This window comes from Homo sapiens, chromosome 12 (genome assembly GCF_000001405.40).
Source record: "Homo sapiens chromosome 12, GRCh38.p14 Primary Assembly".
Taxonomy (NCBI): domain Eukaryota; kingdom Metazoa; phylum Chordata; class Mammalia; order Primates; family Hominidae; genus Homo; species Homo sapiens.
Window position 1 is genome coordinate 90,075,665 of NC_000012.12, and position 21,176 is coordinate 90,096,840.

A 21,176-nucleotide genomic window follows, 5' to 3' on the forward strand; every position below is an offset into this window, starting at 1 on the left:
TTCACTAGTAAATGAAAGAAGTGGAATCCTATGTCTGTCTAGCCTGACTCCAGAGTCTATACTGTGGACCACTAACTATCAAGGGGTTAACAGTAGAACTGATCTGTGGCCAAGAGATGTCTCTAGAGCTTGAATGTCCTTATTCCTTGGAGCATCTTATTCATACTGCCCTACCCTGTTGTATCACTCTCTGTCCCTTTTCACTGAAGCTGAGCTTGCTGTGGTCTGGAAAAGCACAATGGTTTCTTTGGTGCAGCCTGTGGTTTTAGAGCTTACAGTGAGAAGAGCATGCAGATAAAACATAGAGCATCCTACTGAGACACAAGTCCAAGCAATGCTGCTGTAGAGAGCCAGAAAAGCAAAATGGTTCTGACCCTGGCAGGAAATACCATGGACAAGTAGGGAAACAGGTTGGGCAGACCCTAAGATGGGAAAGCTCTGTGCCAGCGCAGAACTCCCCCAGTGGCTGCCATCAATCCCCCTTTTAGTAGCATGTGTAAGGACTCATGAGCATCAAATGTATTCGACACGAACAGCACTGGCCTTAAATGTTTCTTTCCACAAGGATCAGAAACTTTACTACGGTTTTTGTGTCAGGACCTGTTGTTAAATGAACTGATGTCTTTGAAGTGCTTTTCAGTGCTTGAACAGTCATAATTTTAATAATCAGGAGAGTAATCCCAGCATTTTGGAAGGCTGAGGCAGGGAGATTGCTTGAGCCTAGGAGTTCAATACCACCTGGGTAACATACCAAGTCTCCACCTCTACAAAAATTAGAAAATTAGCTGGGTATGGTGGCTTGCACCTATAGTCCTAGCTATTTGGGAGGCTGAGACAGGAGGATCATTTGAGCCCAGGAGGTTGAGGCTGCAGTGAGCTATGATTACACCATTGTATGCCAGCCTGGGCATGAGAGTGAGACCCTGTATCAGAAAAGAGAGTTCTTGTCACTGATCACTGATGATAAAAGTTCATTTCTTCTAAAGATCAAAAGCTCCTGGTTTCAAATTAAAACTATGTCTGTGTGTGCATGCAGTAGAATAAAAGACAACTAAAATGTTAATTCCTTCTCCTTTTAGTATCACATGGAGTCTACCTGGCATGTCACAAGCAGCAATTCTGAGGTTTTGAGAGAGCTTCTTGCTGAACTTCTTGTTCAGTTTGCCTCCACGCTTTCCCCTACCACCAGAAAATTTAAACAAAACAACCTGCTTTTGCCTGAATGACCTAGGTAACAACCTACTTTAGCTTGAGCTGCTTAGATATTTCAGCTAAAAATGGCTTATTTCCATGAGTCACCTGGATAATTGCATTACTCTGCTGGCCCACTTAGCTGGGTGGGCCAGCAGGTGTTAAGTGCAACTGTCAACGAGTACTTCATTGTTTTCCACTCTATGGATAGTACTGTGACAGTTTCTTAGTGCCTGGAGAAGTACCTCTTAGATTCACTTTCAGCTCTTGAGCCTCTTTCTTTTAGATGGATCATCCTTGCTATGTGACAAAATCAGCCCCCTTCTATCTCCGTAGGGCAACTTTGTATCATGCATGTATGTGTGTGTAGCTTTGTGGTTTTGAAGAAAAATTACTTCAACAAGTACTTCTTAAATACTTCCTGGCAGAGCGCTGTCTGTAGGAGATACAAAAGGAGATAAAGACAAGATTTTTTCCTCAAAATACAGCTGTTTAAGTAGACTGGTATATATAAACCATTAGAAAGTCTCTACATGTTTACTGTTGACCTGTTTGGAAGTGTAATCAGAGTTGAAAGTTGAAGAGGGACAAAATATTTGGAGAAATCTTTGGAAGGGCTTACCTTCCATTACTTGAGATATAGATGCATTGTCTTTTTTTTTTTTAGCTGGGTTTCACTCTTGTGCCCAGGCTGGAGTGCAGTGGTACAATCTCGGCTCACTGCAACCTCTATCTCCTGGGTTCAAGTGATTCTCCTGCCTCAGCCTCCTGAGTAGCTGAGATTACAGGCATGTGCCGCCACGCTTAGCTAATTTATGTATTTTTAGTAGAGATGGGGTTTCTCCATGTTGGTCAGGCTGGTCTCGAACTCCCGACCTAAGGTGATCCACCTGCCTCAGCCTCCCAAAGCTGGGATTACAGGCATGAGCCACCATGCCCAGCCACATTGTCTTCTTTTTTTCTTTTTTTCCTCTGCAAATGTATTATATAGTTTACTTTGACAAAATATAACCCAATTTTCTAGAATGGCATCGCTGAAGAAAGATAGTTGTCTGCCTCATTTAGAGAGTAACTCAGGGTTCGTGGTTCTCCAAAGGAAAGACGGCAGACAGTTTTGGCTACAAAAACACTTGAGGTATTTAGAAAAAACTCCACACTGTATACTTTACTTTTATGACCGAGTTTTTTAGATGCTTCTGAGAACACAAAATAAATGGAAAACACATACAGGAAAAGAAAAAAAAAGACTTGCCTCATGTGGAACAATCAACATTGTAAAACTAAACCTTAACTAATTTTTGAAATCTATTTATATGTAAAAAAAATTAGTGCCCTAGCTTCAGTTTTAAATTTCATATAATTTGATGTCATGAAATAAAAGGTTAGTTTCTCTGCTTTTTTCTTTCCCTTTTCCCTGGTTATAAAATGATAGATTTTAAAATTAAGTGGTAAGACCAAGTTTTTTTTTTTTTATTTTTTGTTTTTAAGTAGATATTTGAACTTTGATGTAAGAGCTCACCACTTCTATGCTTACAGTGTTTAAATTCTCTGGCATGAAACTTTTAGGCTTGAAATAAATGTCACTAACATGATTTTGAAGGTCAGGCTGGTGAACCACCAAAAATGTCTGACAGCTCGAAAATAGAGTATTTACATGTGGCTCATGGCATCGTGCTCTTTGCTATGATGTAGTCAGGTTGAATAAGTGGAGCAGTGTGAACTGAACCTTGGTAGAATTTGACATTTAACCCCAGAGGTCTATATGCATCGTTTTATTCTCTATCCCCTCCTGCCTCCCTCCACGTGGGCAGAAGAGACATAAAAATCCACTGGCTTTCTGCAGGAACACTTGGCCTGGTTTCCCTGTAATACCTGTTTATACATGAATCAACCCAAAATTAACATCAGAGACAGCAGGATATGCCTGACCTTGTGAATTAAGTATGAAATGCACTAGAAATATGATTAACCAGATTTCTTGGTAAATGGGTTGTTCTGTTTAGCCAGAGCTCTGGTTGTTTAAGAGTGAGTTCTATTGCTATTTTTATTTTTGTACTTATTATTTAATTGGCATTACAAAATGTTATTAGCTTTCTTATCATTGGAAATATGGTTATTAAATGCTACTTGATCTTCCTTGATGACGTCCTCAGATGATCATTCCAAACATCAGTAATCTAAAGATCATGGTAGACATGCAGAAAAAAGACAAGGCTGAGGACTAGGATTGAGGAAAATGGGATGGGGATTGGAGGGCATGGGCAGAGGGTAGTTTAGTTTTAGTTAACTGGGATTATACTGCAGAGGAAGTTCCTGATAACTGATTTCAAAACTTTTAGTAATGTGTCCTGTTTACATTTAAGCTAGATTCAAATAGAAAACCCTAAAGAATTTGTCATATATTTGTATGAGATCATCTTTTAAAACAAGCAGACTAAATTCATTCCATTTCTAAATTCATCTGATAAAAGAAGAACACATGCAAACTAGGTGAAACGAGTTTGGAAAATAATCAATATTATGTCTGGGGCCTTTAGAGTACTGTCCTAAAAGTATAATATGCCACCATTTTTTAAAACCACATTTTTTGGGGGTGCAAGCAGAAAAATGAAGGAATCTGCAGTCTGACTTATGCTCTTGTCACTAACCTTTGGTTTGTAGGTTGAGAGAAGCATTAAAATAAGCATAGCTGCTGAACTGTATTCTTTCAGCAGCCAGAAATGGAAAGCTTCAGGGAATAGCAAATGGTTGCAGGACTCTCTTAAGAGATTACTTATAAATCCAGATATATGTCAGATTATTAGAATAATTGAAAGTCCAGTGAATCAGAGAGATAGAAGGAAAGTCTCTTGAAGCATGATTTATAACTCTATGCAGAGTTTTAAATGCCATTCAGCAAGACATTCCAAAGTGTCTACTGTGAATGAACATTTAGAAGGACTATAATTTTTCTTTTTAATTGAGATACCTATCTGTGTCCTCGGTAACACAACTATTCCTTTGGCTTGTTAATTATAAAAAATAGTCCCTACCTCTTCTGAATTCTGCATGCTTTCTTTAAAGACACTGCAAAGCATTTGAAGCTACTAAGATTTAATGCATTCTTTACCTTAAAGCAAGCACCGATTGGCGGCACAGAGTTCACACAGAGATAAAGAACGAGAAGGACAATGAGAAGTCATGTGACAAAGAGGTCAGAGCATTCAATCCCAGAGAACTGGGATTGTAAATAAGTTCTGCCACTTTCCCACTATGTGACTTTGGGCCAGTTACAAAGTATTCATGAATTTCAGTTTTCCTCTGATGTAAAATGAGGTTAATGGTAATTGTTTTAATGACTCAATTATAACCATATAATTATCTGTATATTTACGGCTCTATATATTTAAAATACCTTTTAAATACCTGGCACAGTATAAGTACCCAATATTTCTCTTAATTTTAAGATAACAGATTATAACAGATTATAACAAATTTAAGATAACAGACTACAAACCTGAAGGAATCAAGTTTCCAAAGACCAGCGATCCATCTGAAGTGGATGAGTAAATGGTGACATTCATCCACCCAGTTGCTAATTCATCCATCAGTCCTTGAATAAGGCACATGCTTACTGGCTTACTGAGATTTCTCCAGTGTCCAAGATAGATAGAAGCAAGACTTAACTGATGTTTTCTCACTCTTAGTCCAATGCTGCTTTATGGTATTCAAAATAAAAATCCTTAAGGCTGAGAAAAAATGAGAAGGGCAAGTTCAGAAATGTAGAATATTTTAGAATTTCATTTGAGAAGAGAGGTGAAGAATTTTCTGATGGTATGTTCTGATAAAATAGGTGTGAATCAGAACTGTTATCTGTCAAGAAAGTAGATTTCCATTATAATCTCTGATACTAGATCCCCATGAATGGTGGATCAGATAAAGAAAATGTGGTGCATATACACCATGGAATATCACACAGGCATACAAAGAATGAGATCATGTCCTTTGTAGCAGCAACATAGATGCAGCTGGAGGCTATAATCCTAAGTGAATTAGTGTAGAAACAGAAATCCAAATACCACATGTTCTCACATGTAAGTGAGAGCCAAACAATGGGTACACAGGGACACAGAGATGGGAACAATAAACGCTGGGAATTCCAAAAGAGGGAGGGAAGGAGTAGGGAAAGGGTTGAAAAACTACCTGTTGGGTACTATGTTCACCACTTGGGCAATGGGTTTATTAGAAGCCCAAACTTCATGTAGAAAAAATAGCGAAAACAGGGCAAATCGACTGTGACTGGTAGGAGCTAATCATGTAGTTAGAATAATGAAGCATTTGCCAAAGTAAATCCAAAACATCTGTAAAGCTGCCAATTAAGTACAAATTGATAAGTCATTATGTATAAGGGTGATTCATAATACTGGAGATAATAAACATTAATTCTTACAGTTCATTTGTCCATTTTGTGCCGGGAAAGTCACTGAGGTTTCTGGACTCCTTTCAACTCATTTATAAATGGGTGAGACATGACCAAGCTTTATCACTTTTATATAAATCGCTTTTATTATTTAAGACATACCTTTTAGGATTCTACTTTTAAATTCTACCATCACCACTTGTCTTTCTTCTTCTCGCCTTCAGTTCCCAACACACAGACACACACACACACGCACACACACACACACACACACAAACACCATATTTGAATATCACATGATGGGAGAAATGAACAACTATATTAACCAACAGGTGAGTTATTGCAAGCTTTGCATAAACAAGAGTTGAATCCCAGTGGGTATTACAGGCTTCTCATCTACCCTTTGATTCTCCCTTCTGCCATCACATATAGAATAAGCAAAGGTCTTCTGATGAAAAGTTGCAAATATGTGGCAAAACAGGAAAGATGGAACACTGATGAAGAGTTTTCTAATATTAGTTTTGCTGAAGAGCTGGTGTGATTAGAGGCAATAATTAGTTTGAATTTTTGTAGGTAAAATACAGCATCATGAGCCACATTTGGCCATTCTTTGAAATGTTCAACCAAAATAGATTGTTATGCCCATATCCCATTTTGCATTATATGATCATGGTTAGAATTAACAAAACACTTGTGAAGAGCTGCCTGTTGCAATGGCTGGAGATTTGAATTGCTCAGAACGATTTCTTTTGAGATTGCCAGTTCTACTTTGAAACTAGACTTATTAACACAAACATCTAAGATGTACCTTGAGGCCCCCTTGAGAATTACTTGTCTGCAGCTATTTATTCATTATTTAGTCATGAACTGGTAACATGTCAGGCATGGAGAAGAAATTGTGTTGCCTTCCTGTAAAGGTAGAAAAGTCAACTATCTGTTAAATGAAAACGTGTAAGTTTGAGAGCTACTTCTCTTGCACTCAATATTTTCTTTAAAATTTTTAAGAAGCAGGTGGGTTATCAGTGTTGAAAGCTAATGTGTGTGTGTGTGCGTGTGTGTAATTAGATTTCTCATCACCTACTTTTGTCCCAAGAGACACTTTCCCTTAATGCTATATCATCATACTATTTTCATAGGAGCAGAATATCATCTTTTTCTTTTTAACTCCCTGTCAAAACCTGATCATCTACTTGCCTGAGTTGAGTAGCCATTAATGTTAGATACTTTATTAGCTAGTTCTATGATTTGGGAATATCATTCAACTTCTTTTTCTCTCAGTTTGAAGGAGTTAGATTAGATAATATTTAAGCAGTTTCAACACTCTATCCCTCTACAAAATAGCAAAATTTGTATTCACTCACTTGAATGTACCATAAACAGTTGTGGGAGTGAATAGCTATGGAGTGCCCATTAAGTAATGTCCAGCATAATTATGTTTATTGGCTTGTCATCACTGTGGTTGATGGGCAGAGAGCAGGTATTCTATTTCCTTTACATGTACCCTAGGTCCTCAACCCTGGTTATCTAAAACTGTGATCTACATAGAGTGGTTGCTCAATTGTAGACTGTCTTATATTTGAAAAATATTACAGAGTCACCCTTGTGGGTAGAGGAGTAAAAAGGATTGCTTCTCCAATGGTTTTAATCTATGAATTTGGATGTGCATGCACTATTATTAGAATTCTCATAGGATTAACAAAATCTGCATCTTCTAACAATATTGCAGTGGGTGATGGTGATTTGAAACTTGTCCAAAGTCACACAGCTGGTAAGTGTGAGATGCAGTACTAGTAGCCAGGCCTCTGATGTTAACAGTTGCTGAAGCGTTCCATGATCCCATCATGGCAGCCATAACTCTCTTCTCTGTGCTGTCATGGTATTTTATTCTCACTGCTAGCATAGAACTTATGATGCTACATTGATTTTTGTTTGCTACGCCCCTAAGATGTGCGTGGTACATAGTAGTCACTAAAAAAATAGTTTGCCAATTGAATATTTGAATGCACATACAAGTGTCTGCTTGCACCAAACAGCTGTAAGTTCCTTAAATAATGGACCTGATCCTATACGTCGTTATATCCCTAGTTCTTCAGACAGTGACTGACACCTTGCTGGTACTTAAATATTTGTTTAATTGAACTAAATTCTTACCAAATGTAGTTCAGTGCTGCTTGTGTTTCACTAACATCACCTCCCATTTTTTTAAAAAACAAATCACATCCTTCCTTTTATTTCTATGTCCTTTTTACTTTTCCCTTTCATTCCTGTTCTTCTTTTCCTATCTTTCTTTATTACACTCTATTCTTTCACTTTAATGACTTAATTTATATAATTTATATCCCATGCCTCTTCTTTTTTTTTTTTTTTTTTTGATGGAGTCTTACTCCGTAGCCCAGGCTAGAGTGCAGTGGCGCGATCTCGGCTCACTCCAAGTTCCGCCTCCCGGGTTCACACCATTCTCCTGCCTCAGCCTCCCGAGTAGCTGGGACTATAGGCTCCTGCTACCACGCCAGGCTAATTTTTTGTATTTTTAGTAGAGACAGGGTTTCGCTGTGTTAGCCAGGATGGTCTTGATCTCCTGACCTTGTGATCCACCTGCCTCGGCCTCCCAAAGTGTTGGGATTACAGGCGTGAGCCATTGCGCCCGGCCATCCCATGCCTCTTCTATGCACTTGCTACCTTGAAGGCTTGGTGAAAATGTCAATAGACAGTTATCACTGTGTTGAGTCATGAAGTCGATCTGAAGTGGGATAAGCTAAGCTCTATGCCAGAATGCACCATTTTTGTATATGTATACTATTGTGTAGGAGGCAAGAGGAATATAAAAATCTACAAACTTGGTGAGGTATTGAGGAAAGTTGGCTGACTCCTTAATGCTTTTCAATGTCCAATTTATGGCTGAGAAAGCAACATTCATGGGAACCATTCAAAGCACCAGATTCTGTTTATTAGTGACTCAGCATTAATGCCCATGACTAAGGCACAAGTGTTCCAAATTCCAGTTTACCTTTTAACCCATTTTGTACGACTAGACCTCATGAACAGTTGTGGCTATTTTTTAACTGGCAAGATTGTATTTGATTATGCCTAAAGACCAATTGTTGTTTTATTAGGATTAAAGGAGCCTGCATTTCTTTATGAATATTTCTGCCGCTATTCTGATGCAATAGAATATGGCACCACAACACGACTTTCCAGCTTGCCATAAATATGAAAACTTAAAAATTGCATGAATTGCTGCATTCTTCTTAGTTTGTCCGGTCTCTTCTTCAGTTCTTAAAACAAGAAATGACTTTCTTTCAATTCTCTCTTCTTGGCTCACTCCGTTCCCCTGGTAACATTAATTTATTGATTTTCAAAATATAAATCCATGTGCATTTCTGACTCACTTAACATTAATTCTTCTGCTCTTCTTTTCCATTCAGTTCTTCTTTGGACCATTCCATTAAATCTGGAAAATGTTCTGTTGGTCTTAGCAGACACCTTCTTATTATGAGGTCCCAGCTTCTAGTTCTGTCTCCTCAAACATCCAACTCCATTTCGTAGCTGCATCAATTTAACGGCTTTCTGAAACTCTATGTTAAATAGCCCTTCTGGGAAGAAAAAGCATATAGGTTACGTTGTAATTCTAAAAATAACGAGCATTATAATTTTACGTAGTTTTTACTGCAATGCCTTATGTAGCATTTAAGATCACTAATTGGAACTAATTTTCATTTCTTCCCATCTTCTCTAATTCATCACAAAAGATAACACTGGAGTGATTACCTTACTCACTTACTGGATTCCAATAATGGACTTATTATGATGTTGGAAGGCATAGCTTTTGATGATTCATAAATATACCTCAAGATTATAACTATTGACAAAATGAGATCTATGTAATTAATGACCTATTTAGGCCATACATTTCCTTACTTATTTTCAAATCTTTGGGAAGCGTTCATTTTAGTGACTTCTAATTCCTGGTCAGTTCTTTGGAAGGTTCGACCTGGAAGGGACCTGAAGAGTCATCTAGTTTTAGCTCTCTGATTTACTGATAAGGGCCTCAGGGGAAACATTATGTGTATGTTTTAAAGTCATCTAGTGACTGGTAGCAGAGGCCATAGTGGGTCGCAATTTCATCTACACATTAGAGTCACCTGAAAAGCTTTTTAAAATGCTCATGTCTGAGCTTACTGCAGAGAACTTGATTTAATTGTCCTGGGGTTGTCCTGTCCATTGAGATTTTTTAAAACCTTGTTGTATAATTCTAATGGACAATTCTAATTGGGGTAGCAGTCTAGTGGTTTAAAACTCAGGATTAGAAGGCAGAAAGAGTTAGCTTACTTATCCTATCTAAGCTTCATTTTTACTCATCTTTAAGATGGGGTAATATGATATTTTCCTTACAGCTTTGTACTGACAGTTGAATGAGTGAACACAGCTGGAAAGCTGATCACAGGGACTAGCAGCTTGGCTGAGTCGCCTGACTCCTAGGATAGTGTACTTCTGTGTGGCTTCTGCAATTATTTGCGATCCTTTCCTTTCTGACCTGATGGTCATCTGCTTGCTTCTCTCCATTCCTTGGCTTTATTTCTTGTGTTTTTAGAGCTATGGAGCCAAAACTGTGACAGGACTGTCCACTTTTGCACAGTGAAAGCCCACGTTTATTTTCTAAAGATTCTGATCATAATTTTGTGCTCAGAGTTACTTTCTCCAGCTTCCAACACCCTGAGATAGCCTTGCATGTTTTTGCATGACTAATTTCATGTCTGGTGGTGATACATTGGAAATTTTCTTGCATGACCCTCTGCTCTCATTCTTGGATTAGAGTAGAGAAGGTGCTTGTGCTGCATGTTCTTTTCACCCTGAAACACTCTCCACTGTCCTCCTTTGTACTGTTGCTGGTTTAGTTGTCTTTCTCACTCCAGTATGTGCTGCTGCAGGACAGGGCTAATGTAAATTCTACTCACCATGATATTCTTGAAGACTACTAAAGTGTCTATCACATAGGTGCCAGGCATTCAAAAATTGAAAAATATGGAAAGAAGTTGTAGGATGCTAAGAATAATGATTGCATCGTTTTCTAGGAATCTTAGCTGAAGAAAATATGAATGGAATATCTTGCTGGTTGCCTTCAGACTCACAGAAAAGTCCCTATTATTATGAAAATGTTTGACTGATATGCTTCACAGAGACTAGCAAACTGGTGTGCATGAGACATACAGAATGACACAGACTTCAATTTATTTTTTTTTTCTGTTACAAAATTGCTGGTTCTAGTCTGAGTCACTAAGTCTCCAGTCTTTACCTTTCTTTGAGCATTTCTAAGAGCATTTCTAAGCAGTAGACAGAAAGTTCTGCTATGCTGAAAGTACTAGGTTTCACACTTGGTCCAATAGCTAGGGAGGCCTTGATGAGATAAAGGGTTGTTACTCTTAGTTTTCTATACTGAATAAAGTCTAAGTGCTATGGAGTTAAGTCATGCAACTTTTAAAATAATTTTTTAAAATTGTAAATTGCCAATGTATAATTGTATAAATTTATGAAATAAAAGTGGTTATGATTTATGGATACAATGTAAAATATAATTAATCAAATGAATTAACATATTCATCACCTCAAATACTTAATACTTTTAGTGGGGAGAACATTTGAAATTTATTCTCTTAGCAATTTTTAAGTGTGTAATACTCTATTATTAGCATAGAACTGAAAAAAAAATCTATTATCTTTCCTGCCTGAGATTTTGTGCCCTTTGACCCCCATCCTTGGCCTCTGTAACCCCCATTGTATTTTCTGCTTGTGATGTGGATTGTTTTAGATTCCACATATAAGTGAGAACATGTCTCTTTGTCTTTCTGTGCCTGGCTTATTTCACTTAGGATAATGTTCTCCAGTTCCATCCATGTTGCTGTGAATGACAGAATTTTCCTTTTTTAAGGTTGAATAGTACACATTTTCTTGATCCATTCCTTCATTGATAAACACTTAGGTTGATTCCATAGTTTGGCCATTGTGATTAGTGCTGCAATGAACATGAGAATGCAGATGTCTCTTCAACAAACTGATTTGAAATCTTTTGAATAAATACCCAGAAGCGGAATTGCTGGATCACATGATAATTCCATTTTCAGTTTCTTGAGGAATGCCCATTCAGTTTTCCATAATAGCTGTGCTAATTTACATTCCCACCAACAGTGTACAACAATTCCCTTTTCTGCACATCTTTGCCAACATTTGTTATCTTTCATCAACTGATATATAAAAAGATGTTCAACATTGCTAATCATTAGTGAAATGCAAATTAAAACCACAAAGAGATATAATTTCACACCTGTCAGAATAGTGTTTATCAAGAAGTTACGCAACTTTTAAAAGGCTTTTGGAGTTAATCTTTTGTTTCTGGAGAAATACTTTTGTCGTTTACCAGTCTCAAATTTTAATTTATACCTGGCAAATGAACAAATGACGTTTTGTTTAACTCTATTAAAACCTTGAGAAGGAAATTGCAATATGATGAATTTTAAAATAAAATAGACCCAGGAGAAAAATTCCAAAGGAGTAAAAATCTTTCAATTAATGACAAGGGAAATTATTTCAGCAATAATCCCATTGGGATTAAAAGAAGAGTTGTTAGATGTTAGGATGTTGTCATCTTAGCATGCCTTGTAGTATTAAATTCTTTGTGGTATATAATCTCATTAAAGTAGAGCTGGAAACCTCTACCTGTTTACCTTTTCTATTTTCAAATGTACTTGTGCTTATTTATCAGTTTAATAGTACTATTTAGGCTAGTGAGGGTGAACTAAGAATAAATTTATTTTCCAATGCTTGGTGTGTAATAAAAATTTGCTTTTGCCCTAGTGAAAAATTGGAGTGAAGAATGTGCTTAGCTTTGTCTGCAAACCTTTTTCCTATGAAAATATTTATCCAATAGAAGCTAGAGGACAGGTGGAGCTTTGAGTTCTATTCGTGCTCTGCCGGGATTTCATTAGATTTAGACTTAACTTTCATTTCCCTTGACTGATTTTAAGATGTATAAAATTGCTCTGAAGACATTCAATGACAGCCAGCCTCCTTAAAAGATGTGTTTAAAAGTGGAAGACTTACACAGTTGCAGGACATAAGAAAACAGAAAAAAAAAAGGGAAGACCATGATACTCAACAACTTAGTGAACCCAAGAAGCATTTTATGGTATGTACTCCTTGAGAGAGGTTAGGTTATGCTGCAAACATACAACCCTCAGATATTGTTCACTTAAAACTGAAATGGTTTCTTGCTTTCCACAGATAGTTCACTGTGCTCTCTGTCCTTACATCATTGTTTTCCGTCCTTGCTGATTCAGCCATGATCCAGAATGCTGCTGCTTAGTATGGGAGAGGCAAAAGCGCATGTGGCAAGGCGCACCATGATCTCTTCAAGCTTCTGCTTGAAAATGACACTTAACATCCATTTCTTAGCCCAAAAAAATAATACGGTCACACGTGAATTCATCAGGATGAGGCAGTACCATCCTAAAGTAATGGAAAACGTATGAAAATTAATATTTGTGAACAGGCTGAGACCTCAGGTACCCATAAAAGTCTTATTCATTATCAATTCCAAATCAATTCTCAAATGTAATTATTAGCCCTTACTCTGTGCTCACCTAGAGGGCCTTGATTTATAAAAAGTGTATATAAGGCTTAGTTGTTCAACCAACATGTCTGCCTGAGACCTGTACAGGAGATGGTACTTTGCTGGACCCTGACTCTAAGGCAATGGTACCCCTATCTATGGTGCATCTGCAGACAGACTAGCGCTGCCGACAAGAGGACCCAGGCAAGAATGAGCTAGTAGAATTTGTGGATGGATATCTTTTGTTTTTAAATTTTACTTTAAGTTCTGGGATACACGTGCAGAACATACAGGTTTGTTACATGGGCATATGTGTGCCATGGTGGTTTGCTGCACTTATCAACCCGTCATCTAGGTTTTAAGCCCCACATGCATTAGGTATTTGTACTAAAGCTCCCCCTCCCCTTGCCCCTCAACCCCTGACAGGCCCCGGTGTGTGATGTTCCCATCTCTGTGTCCATGTATTCTCACTGGTCAGCTCCCACTTATGAGTGAGAACATGTGGTGTATGATTTTCTGTTCCTGTGTTAGTTCGCTGAGAACGATGGTTTCCAGCTTAATCCATGTCCCTGCAAAGGACATGAACCCATTCTTTTTTACAGCTGCATAGTATTCTATGGTGTGTATGTGCCACATTTTCTTTATCCAGTCTATCATTGATGGGCATTTGGGTTGGTTCCAAGTCTTTGGTATTGTAAATAGTGCTCTGATAAATATATGTGTGCATGTGTCTTTATGGTAGAATGATTTATAATCCTTTGGGTATATACCCAGTAATGGGATTGCTGGGTCAAAGGGTATTTCTGGTTCTAGATCCTTAAGGAATTGCCGCAGTGTCTTTCACAATGGTGGAACTAATTTACACTCCCACCAACAGCGTAAAAGTGTTCCTATTTCTTGTGGATGGATATCTTAAGCCAGCCTTAGCAGTGATGTGGGGATTATAGAAGAGGTGAATTTCAATAGGTGGAAGACAATTGGACATTTTCTAAGTAAAAACTCAAGGTAACTGGATGCAATTTCTTTTCTTTCTGTCTCTCTCTCTTTTATTTTTATTTTTATTTTTTTGGGATGGAGTCTCTCTCTGTTGCCCAGGCTGCAGTGCAGTCGTGGGATCTCCACTCACTGCAAACTACACCTCCCAGGTTCATGCCATTCTCCTGCCTCAGCCTCCCCAGTAGCTGGGACTACAGGTGCCTGCCCCCACGCCCGGTTAATTTTTGGTATTTTTAGTAGAGACGGGGTTTCATCGTGTTAGCCAGGATGGTCTCGATCTCCTGACCACATGATCCACCTGCCTCGGCCTCCCAAAGTGCTGGGATTACAGGCGTGAGCCACTGCACCCGGCCTCTTTTCTCTTCTCTTTTCCTCTCTTTCTTTTTGTTTTCTTTTTTTTTCTTTTCCCTTCCTTCCTTCCTTCCTTCCTTCCTTCCTTCCTTCCTTTCTTTCTCTTCCTTCCTTCCTTCCCTTTCTTTCTTTTCTTTCTTTCTTTCTTTCTTTCTTTCTTTCTTTCTTTCTTTCTTTCTTTCTTTCTTTCTTTCTTTCTTTCTCTTCCTTCCTTTTAATTTCTTTCTTTCTCTTTCTTCCTCTCTCTCTCTCTCCCTCTCTCTCTCTCTCTCCCCCCCCCACCCTTCCCTTTCTTTCCTTTCTTTTGACAAGCAGTCTCACCCTGTCACCCAGGCTGGAGTGCAGTGGTAAAATCATAGCGTACTGCAGCCTCAAACTCCTGGGCTCCAGTGATCTACCCACCTCAGCTTCCTGAGTAACTGTAACTTGATGTGCGTGTCACCATACCTAGCTAACTAAAATATGTCGTGTTTTTTTTTTTTTTTTCATAGAGACAGGGCCTCACTCTGTTGTCCAGGCTGGTCTTAAACTGCTGGCCTCAAGCAATCCTCCCAACTTGGCTTCCCAAAGTGCTGAGATTACAAGCGTGAGCCACTACGCCTTGCCTGGATGCAATTTCTAATTATGAAAATCAAAAAAATCTCTTAGGGTCACAAAAAGAAAAGTCAGATTTATTGAAATACTGTGTTAAGTTAGAGTTTACTATTTCTCTTAAAAATTTACATTTCTCCTCCCCATTCACCTCTTCTCATGCCATTGTACATCCTTCCTTGCACTTTCCAGGAAGCATTTAAAGTTTTTCAGCAGTCTGCAACCAGTAATCCTGTTTCTATTTATAGGATTTTAAATCCTGGCTTCAAAGGTACTCAGGCAGTAGACTGAGAAGATTGTGGGAGTGTGGAGGATTAGCCTTAGGCAGCTGTATGACAAAGCAGTCTATTCACTCCAGATAAGAGTGAAGGAGGTTGAGACTTATAATTCATTTCACTTACATCTGTCTTCTAGACCCCTCCTTAAACAAAAGGGGGAGAAAATTGTTCATTCCCGCTTTCTGCGTTTTAACAATCTCTTTTATTTCTGCTCTTGGGAGGTGGAGAAAGCCACTACTGAATGCTGTTATCCTGAAGTGAGGCTGAATTTTGCCCACTCCAAGCAACTGCACTGCTAGGACTTTATGTTGCATCATAACCCAGCCACACCCAGTGATGCATCGGTGATTGCACCCACACCCAGTGGGTGGGAGAATGACTTCCACATCCTTTAGCACCTTGGGAAAAGTCCTCAATTTCTTTAAACCACAGAGTGGAATGACTCACAGGAGACATTTCCATATCAGCAGCCTTCCAAGACCTAACCATAGCTCTCTGACTTTCTGCATTTGGTGTCAAAATGCAAGTCCCTGTGCTTTGATTGATTGAAATGCAAACCCTAGCTTGGGTGCTGGATTAGCTGTATATCTGATTTAAATTCGCACTAATCCTCTCCTGGGATTTCTTCTTTTCCTGGGCACTAATTTGGTAAGGATGACAAGTGGGCTTAATTATTTCCTGTCTAAGGAGACTCTAGGATATGTACCTGTATTAAGTAAAAGAGAATGGCTTTGTATTTAACCTCTTTAAAGGAGCAAATGAATGCGTAATGTCAACATTTTTGACACCAAAATTTCATCTGAGGAATAGAATAGAATATAACACATTTTCATGGCTTCACGTAGTGATGGCATAAATTAAGCTGACTAGTAACCTAAGTCTAAAATGAAGGTAATTATGAAAATGGCCTGTGCTCTCAGTTACTCAGGAGGCATAGGTGGGAGGACTGCCTGAGCCCAGGAAGTCAAGGCTGCAGTGAGCTGGGAAGGCACCAGCACACTCTAGCCTGGGCAACAGCGTGAGACCCTGTTTCAAAAATATATATATTATAATTTATACATGATATAATAATATATATAATATATAAAAATATATAATTATTATATAATAATATATGTAATATATAAAAATATATAATTATTATATAATATATATTACAATTATATATAATAAACAGTTTAGCCGTTTGTCTTTAAATATATATTATATATAAAATATATATTATATGTTATATATGTTGTATATAATATATAAAATATACATTATATATTATATATGTTGTATATAATATATAAAAACTATATAAATATATAATATATAGTATATATTATATATAAAATATTAAACTGTTTAGCCATTTGTCTTTATATATAAATATATTATATATAACATATATTATATTATATATCATATATGTTATATATGATATATATCATATATATGATATATGATAGATGATAGATTATATATTATATATGATATATAATAAATATTATATATCATATATAATATATATAATATTAATATATAATATAAATATATAATATTAATATATAATATAAATATATATTTATAATATATATTTATATTATATACAATTATATAAATATATAATTGTATATAATTATTTATATAATATGTAATATAATCTTATATATATAATTATATATTATATATGCATGTTATATATAATACATAACATATATAATATGTATATATAATATATATTTATATTATATATAATATAAATATAAATTTTATATATAATATGTATATAATATATGTATATAATATTTAATACATATAATATTAAACAGTTTAGCCATTTGTCTTTTTATATATATAATTTATATATTTATAGAAATTATATATATATAATTTACATATTTATGTAAATTATATATATAATTTACATGTTTATGTAAATTATATATATAATTTACATGTTTATGTAAATTATATATATAATTTACATGTTTATGTAAATTATATATAATTTACATGTTTATGTAAATTATATATATAATATACATATTTATATAAATTATATATATACTTCATATATATAAATTAGATATATATAATTCATATATATAAATTAGATATATATAATTCATATATTTATATAAATTAGATATATCTAATTTATATATATTTATAAATTATGTATATAATTTATATAATTATATTAAATATATATATAATTTATATATATTTATGTATATTAAATATATATATAATTATATATATTTGTATATAAATATATATAAAAATTATATATAAATATATATAATTTATATATTAATTTGTATATATATAATTATATATATAAAATATATAATTTGTATATATTATTTTATATATTTATATATATTATATAATTTATATATATTATATTATTATATATATTGTTATATATAATATAATTTAAATAATATATATTATATATATAAATTATATATAGAAATGATATATATAAATTATATATAGAAATATATATATAATTTATATATTATATATAAATTATATGTAATATATATGTATACATTTATATATAATATATAATTTATATATAAAGATATACATTTACATATAATATATATAATTTATATATATAAATATATACATTAATATATATAATTTATATATATAAATATATACATTTATATATATAATATATATAATTTATATATATTATATATAAAGACAAATGGCTAAACTGTTTAATATTATATAAGATATATATTATATATATAAAATATATATCTTATATATTATATGTATTATATATAAAATATATATTATATAGTATGTATTTTATATATTATATATAATATATATAATATATTATATAATATATATTATATATAATATATTGTATATTTTATAAGATATATTATATATAAAGTACATAATATATTATATATAAAGTATATAATATATAAAATATATATTATAGGTATAATATATATTATATAAAATATATATTATAGGTAAAATATATAATATATAAACTATATATTTTAGGTAAAATATATATTATATATAAAATATGTGTTATATATAAAATATATATTATATATAAAAATATTTAATATATATATTTATATAAAGACAAATGGCTAAACTGTTTAATATGGCCAGCATGGTCTTGTAGAGGATGAGCTATTTACAATTGAGTGAACCCTTAAGCTTAAGTACTCTAAAACCCTATATATTAATCTATCATAGTAGTTTTCACAGTATTATAAAGGTATATTTAGTTGTTCTCTCTTACCAGATTGTAAGCTAATGAAAGTGTGCATTTGTTATTATTACTATTATTTTATAGTCTAATTATATCACTGTGTTGTATTTAATAGACATTCGAACAGGGAATTACTCCTCCCAAGAATATTCTTCCAAGGTAAGAACCAGAGTCTTGTATATGCCCTTAGTCTTTGAAGTTTCTGGTTTATATCTTACATGTACATGCATAATTGAAAGACAATTTATCTGAAACTCATTCCTTAGATTATTACTAAAGTTTGTAGATCAAGATTGTAAAGTCCTTCTCAGATAACTTTTTGTTTCAGAAGTGAATCCTGGTCTAGTCTACTTTGAAGGTAAAACCTTATATAAAAATATGATCATACTAAAAACCTAGACAAATTTTTAGTATGATGAAATATTTCTAATCTCCAACAGATGGCCTGCTTATTTGAAGTGTTATTTGGTAATAACAATAGCTAACGTTTACTGAGTGCTTACTATTCCACATTTTAACTTATTTAACCCTCAAAACAACCCTATTGTGTAGATACTGCAGTTTCCCTCCTTTACAGATGGGAAAACTGAAGCAAGGAGAGATTGGCCATGGTCTCACAGCTGGTAATGGGTAGGTCAGGGATTAAAATCTAGCAGTCTGAATTCTGCTACACTTACAGTGTAGTCCCTCTTAACTTTTACATTATTACAGAACAATAGAAAAAATAACACTCCACACAGATCATTGGAGCTCATTAATATCATCATCTTTGATTTCACCCAGTAACATTTTAATTTAGATTTTTGAAGGTTAAGGCACTGAAATATTAGTTTGGGGCCTAAAGTAAGAACACAGATAAAGACATTTATATTATATTTTTATTTCTCTGAAGTAAAGCTCTTAGTAATTGGTGAAATTAGGTATGTTTTGGGGGTTAGAGAACTCTTGAAAATAATTTCATTGTGAGTATCTCTGCTGAATATCAAAATAGTAAGGAAAGTCCTGACATAAAATAGAGAAGTTTGAAGTTGATGATCTATGTTTCATAAGGACCGCTTGGTTTGTGCCTTGGCTTAGCTAGGAACTTCAATGCAAGGTTTTCAAATGTGTTGGGCACATTTTACATATGAGAATAATTGAGTTTTGGATTAACTGTGGTTTAAAATGTATAATCACATAGTTTCTATAATTTTTTAAAAAGTTAACAATTTACAAAGATCAAAATGTTGTAGCCAAAAAACTAATTCCTCAGGAATGCTGGAAAGAAATCTGCAAAGATTAGAGTGTTATGTTCAGGGTAAGGTGCTTTCAGTGCAGGGATAGGTTAGGCTGCTGTGAATTTCCAGAGTGTCCACTGGAGAATGGGGCTGAGATGCAGAAGATCACTGCAAAGAGCAGATATAGGTTCAGATTTTGTGAAGTCTGAAGCTTTTATTAATAGGAGAGGGACATCATTAAAAACAAAATATAAATTTTAAGTGCAAATGACAAGAGTAGTTCCTAAGGCCTTGGACAGGGCATATATGAGGGGAATGGATGCTCTTGAATCTTAAGGTAAATTCACCCCCTGCAGATTTAGAGCTTGGAAATGGATCATCATGGAGGATGAGAAAATCATCTATCATTGTTCCAGTCCTTGAAGTAGAAAGGAAGCCTCTAAACTATGTGTCAAAGCCCTCATTGAATGGCAGTGGCGGGGGTGGGGTGGGGTGGTGAATAAATGGTAGCTTTCTACGTGGAAAGAACAAGGAAGGGAAAGAGGACAATCATAGTAATGTCTATCATGTGTAGAGCATGTGTCAGGCATGATACTAAGCACTTTATTTATGTATTTATTCTTCCTAGCAGGCAATGAGCACTTTTATTTTACAGGTTAGAAAAAAACCACAGAGAAGAGATTTAGTTACTTGTCCATGACTACACAGCTAGGAAAAGGCTGGAGCATGGCTTCAAACCATAGCCTCTGGGGCCTGAGTCCACATCCTTAACAATCACACTCGCCAACCATAATATAAATTGAGCAGACAAGCCTAGGGGAAAGAGAATATTGACCAGGAAGGTAGGGGACTAAACTTCTGTAAATTGCAGTGGAAAGTGAGAGGACAATTACCTTAAAATATTTTAGAGGAACAGGATGAGGAGTCTCCTTAGTCAGCTCCCCTGTTTTCACACCACTTCACAGCACAGATTGGAAATTATTTATTTATTTGTTTCAGCATTGCATATTGTTTCAGCACTGCATAGACAACATTGCTCCTTTACTTGCTTTGCTTTGGTGAGAGAGAAGCTGGAGAGTCACCTTGGATATCCTTAGAGGAATTAACAATTCTCGAAGCACTGGAAAATCTTCCCATTTTACAAAGATAATGGTGCAGGCGGATGTAATCTTTCCTGAGATGTAAATATTGTGTCTGCAAGTAGTAGGACAGGCAGGCAGGTATATCATTGGAAAAGTGAATAATGATCTTATGCCTTCTGAGTTTGAGGGTCTGAGGCTTTCTGGAGGCAAAAAACTACACT

At 35.0% G+C, this 21,176-nt stretch overlaps 1 long non-coding RNA gene across 1 annotated transcript in view, besides 1 other annotated feature; it reads left to right on the forward strand.

Moving 5' to 3' along the window:
- The window catches only part of LOC105369890 (uncharacterized), a 192,148-nt gene that overhangs the window by 155,523 nt on the left and 15,449 nt on the right, over positions 1–21,176 (forward strand). The window lies entirely within an intron of this gene.
- Positions 15,415–16,017: an enhancer, noted in NCBI's record as "NANOG-H3K27ac hESC enhancer chr12:90484856-90485458 (GRCh37/hg19 assembly coordinates)". NCBI's record gives its function as "activates a minimal SCP1, AML or CMV promoter by ChIP-STARR-seq in naive H9 embryonic stem cells {active_cell/tissue: H9 hESC(naive)}" and the evidence as "EXISTENCE:reporter gene assay evidence [ECO:0000049][PMID:30033119]".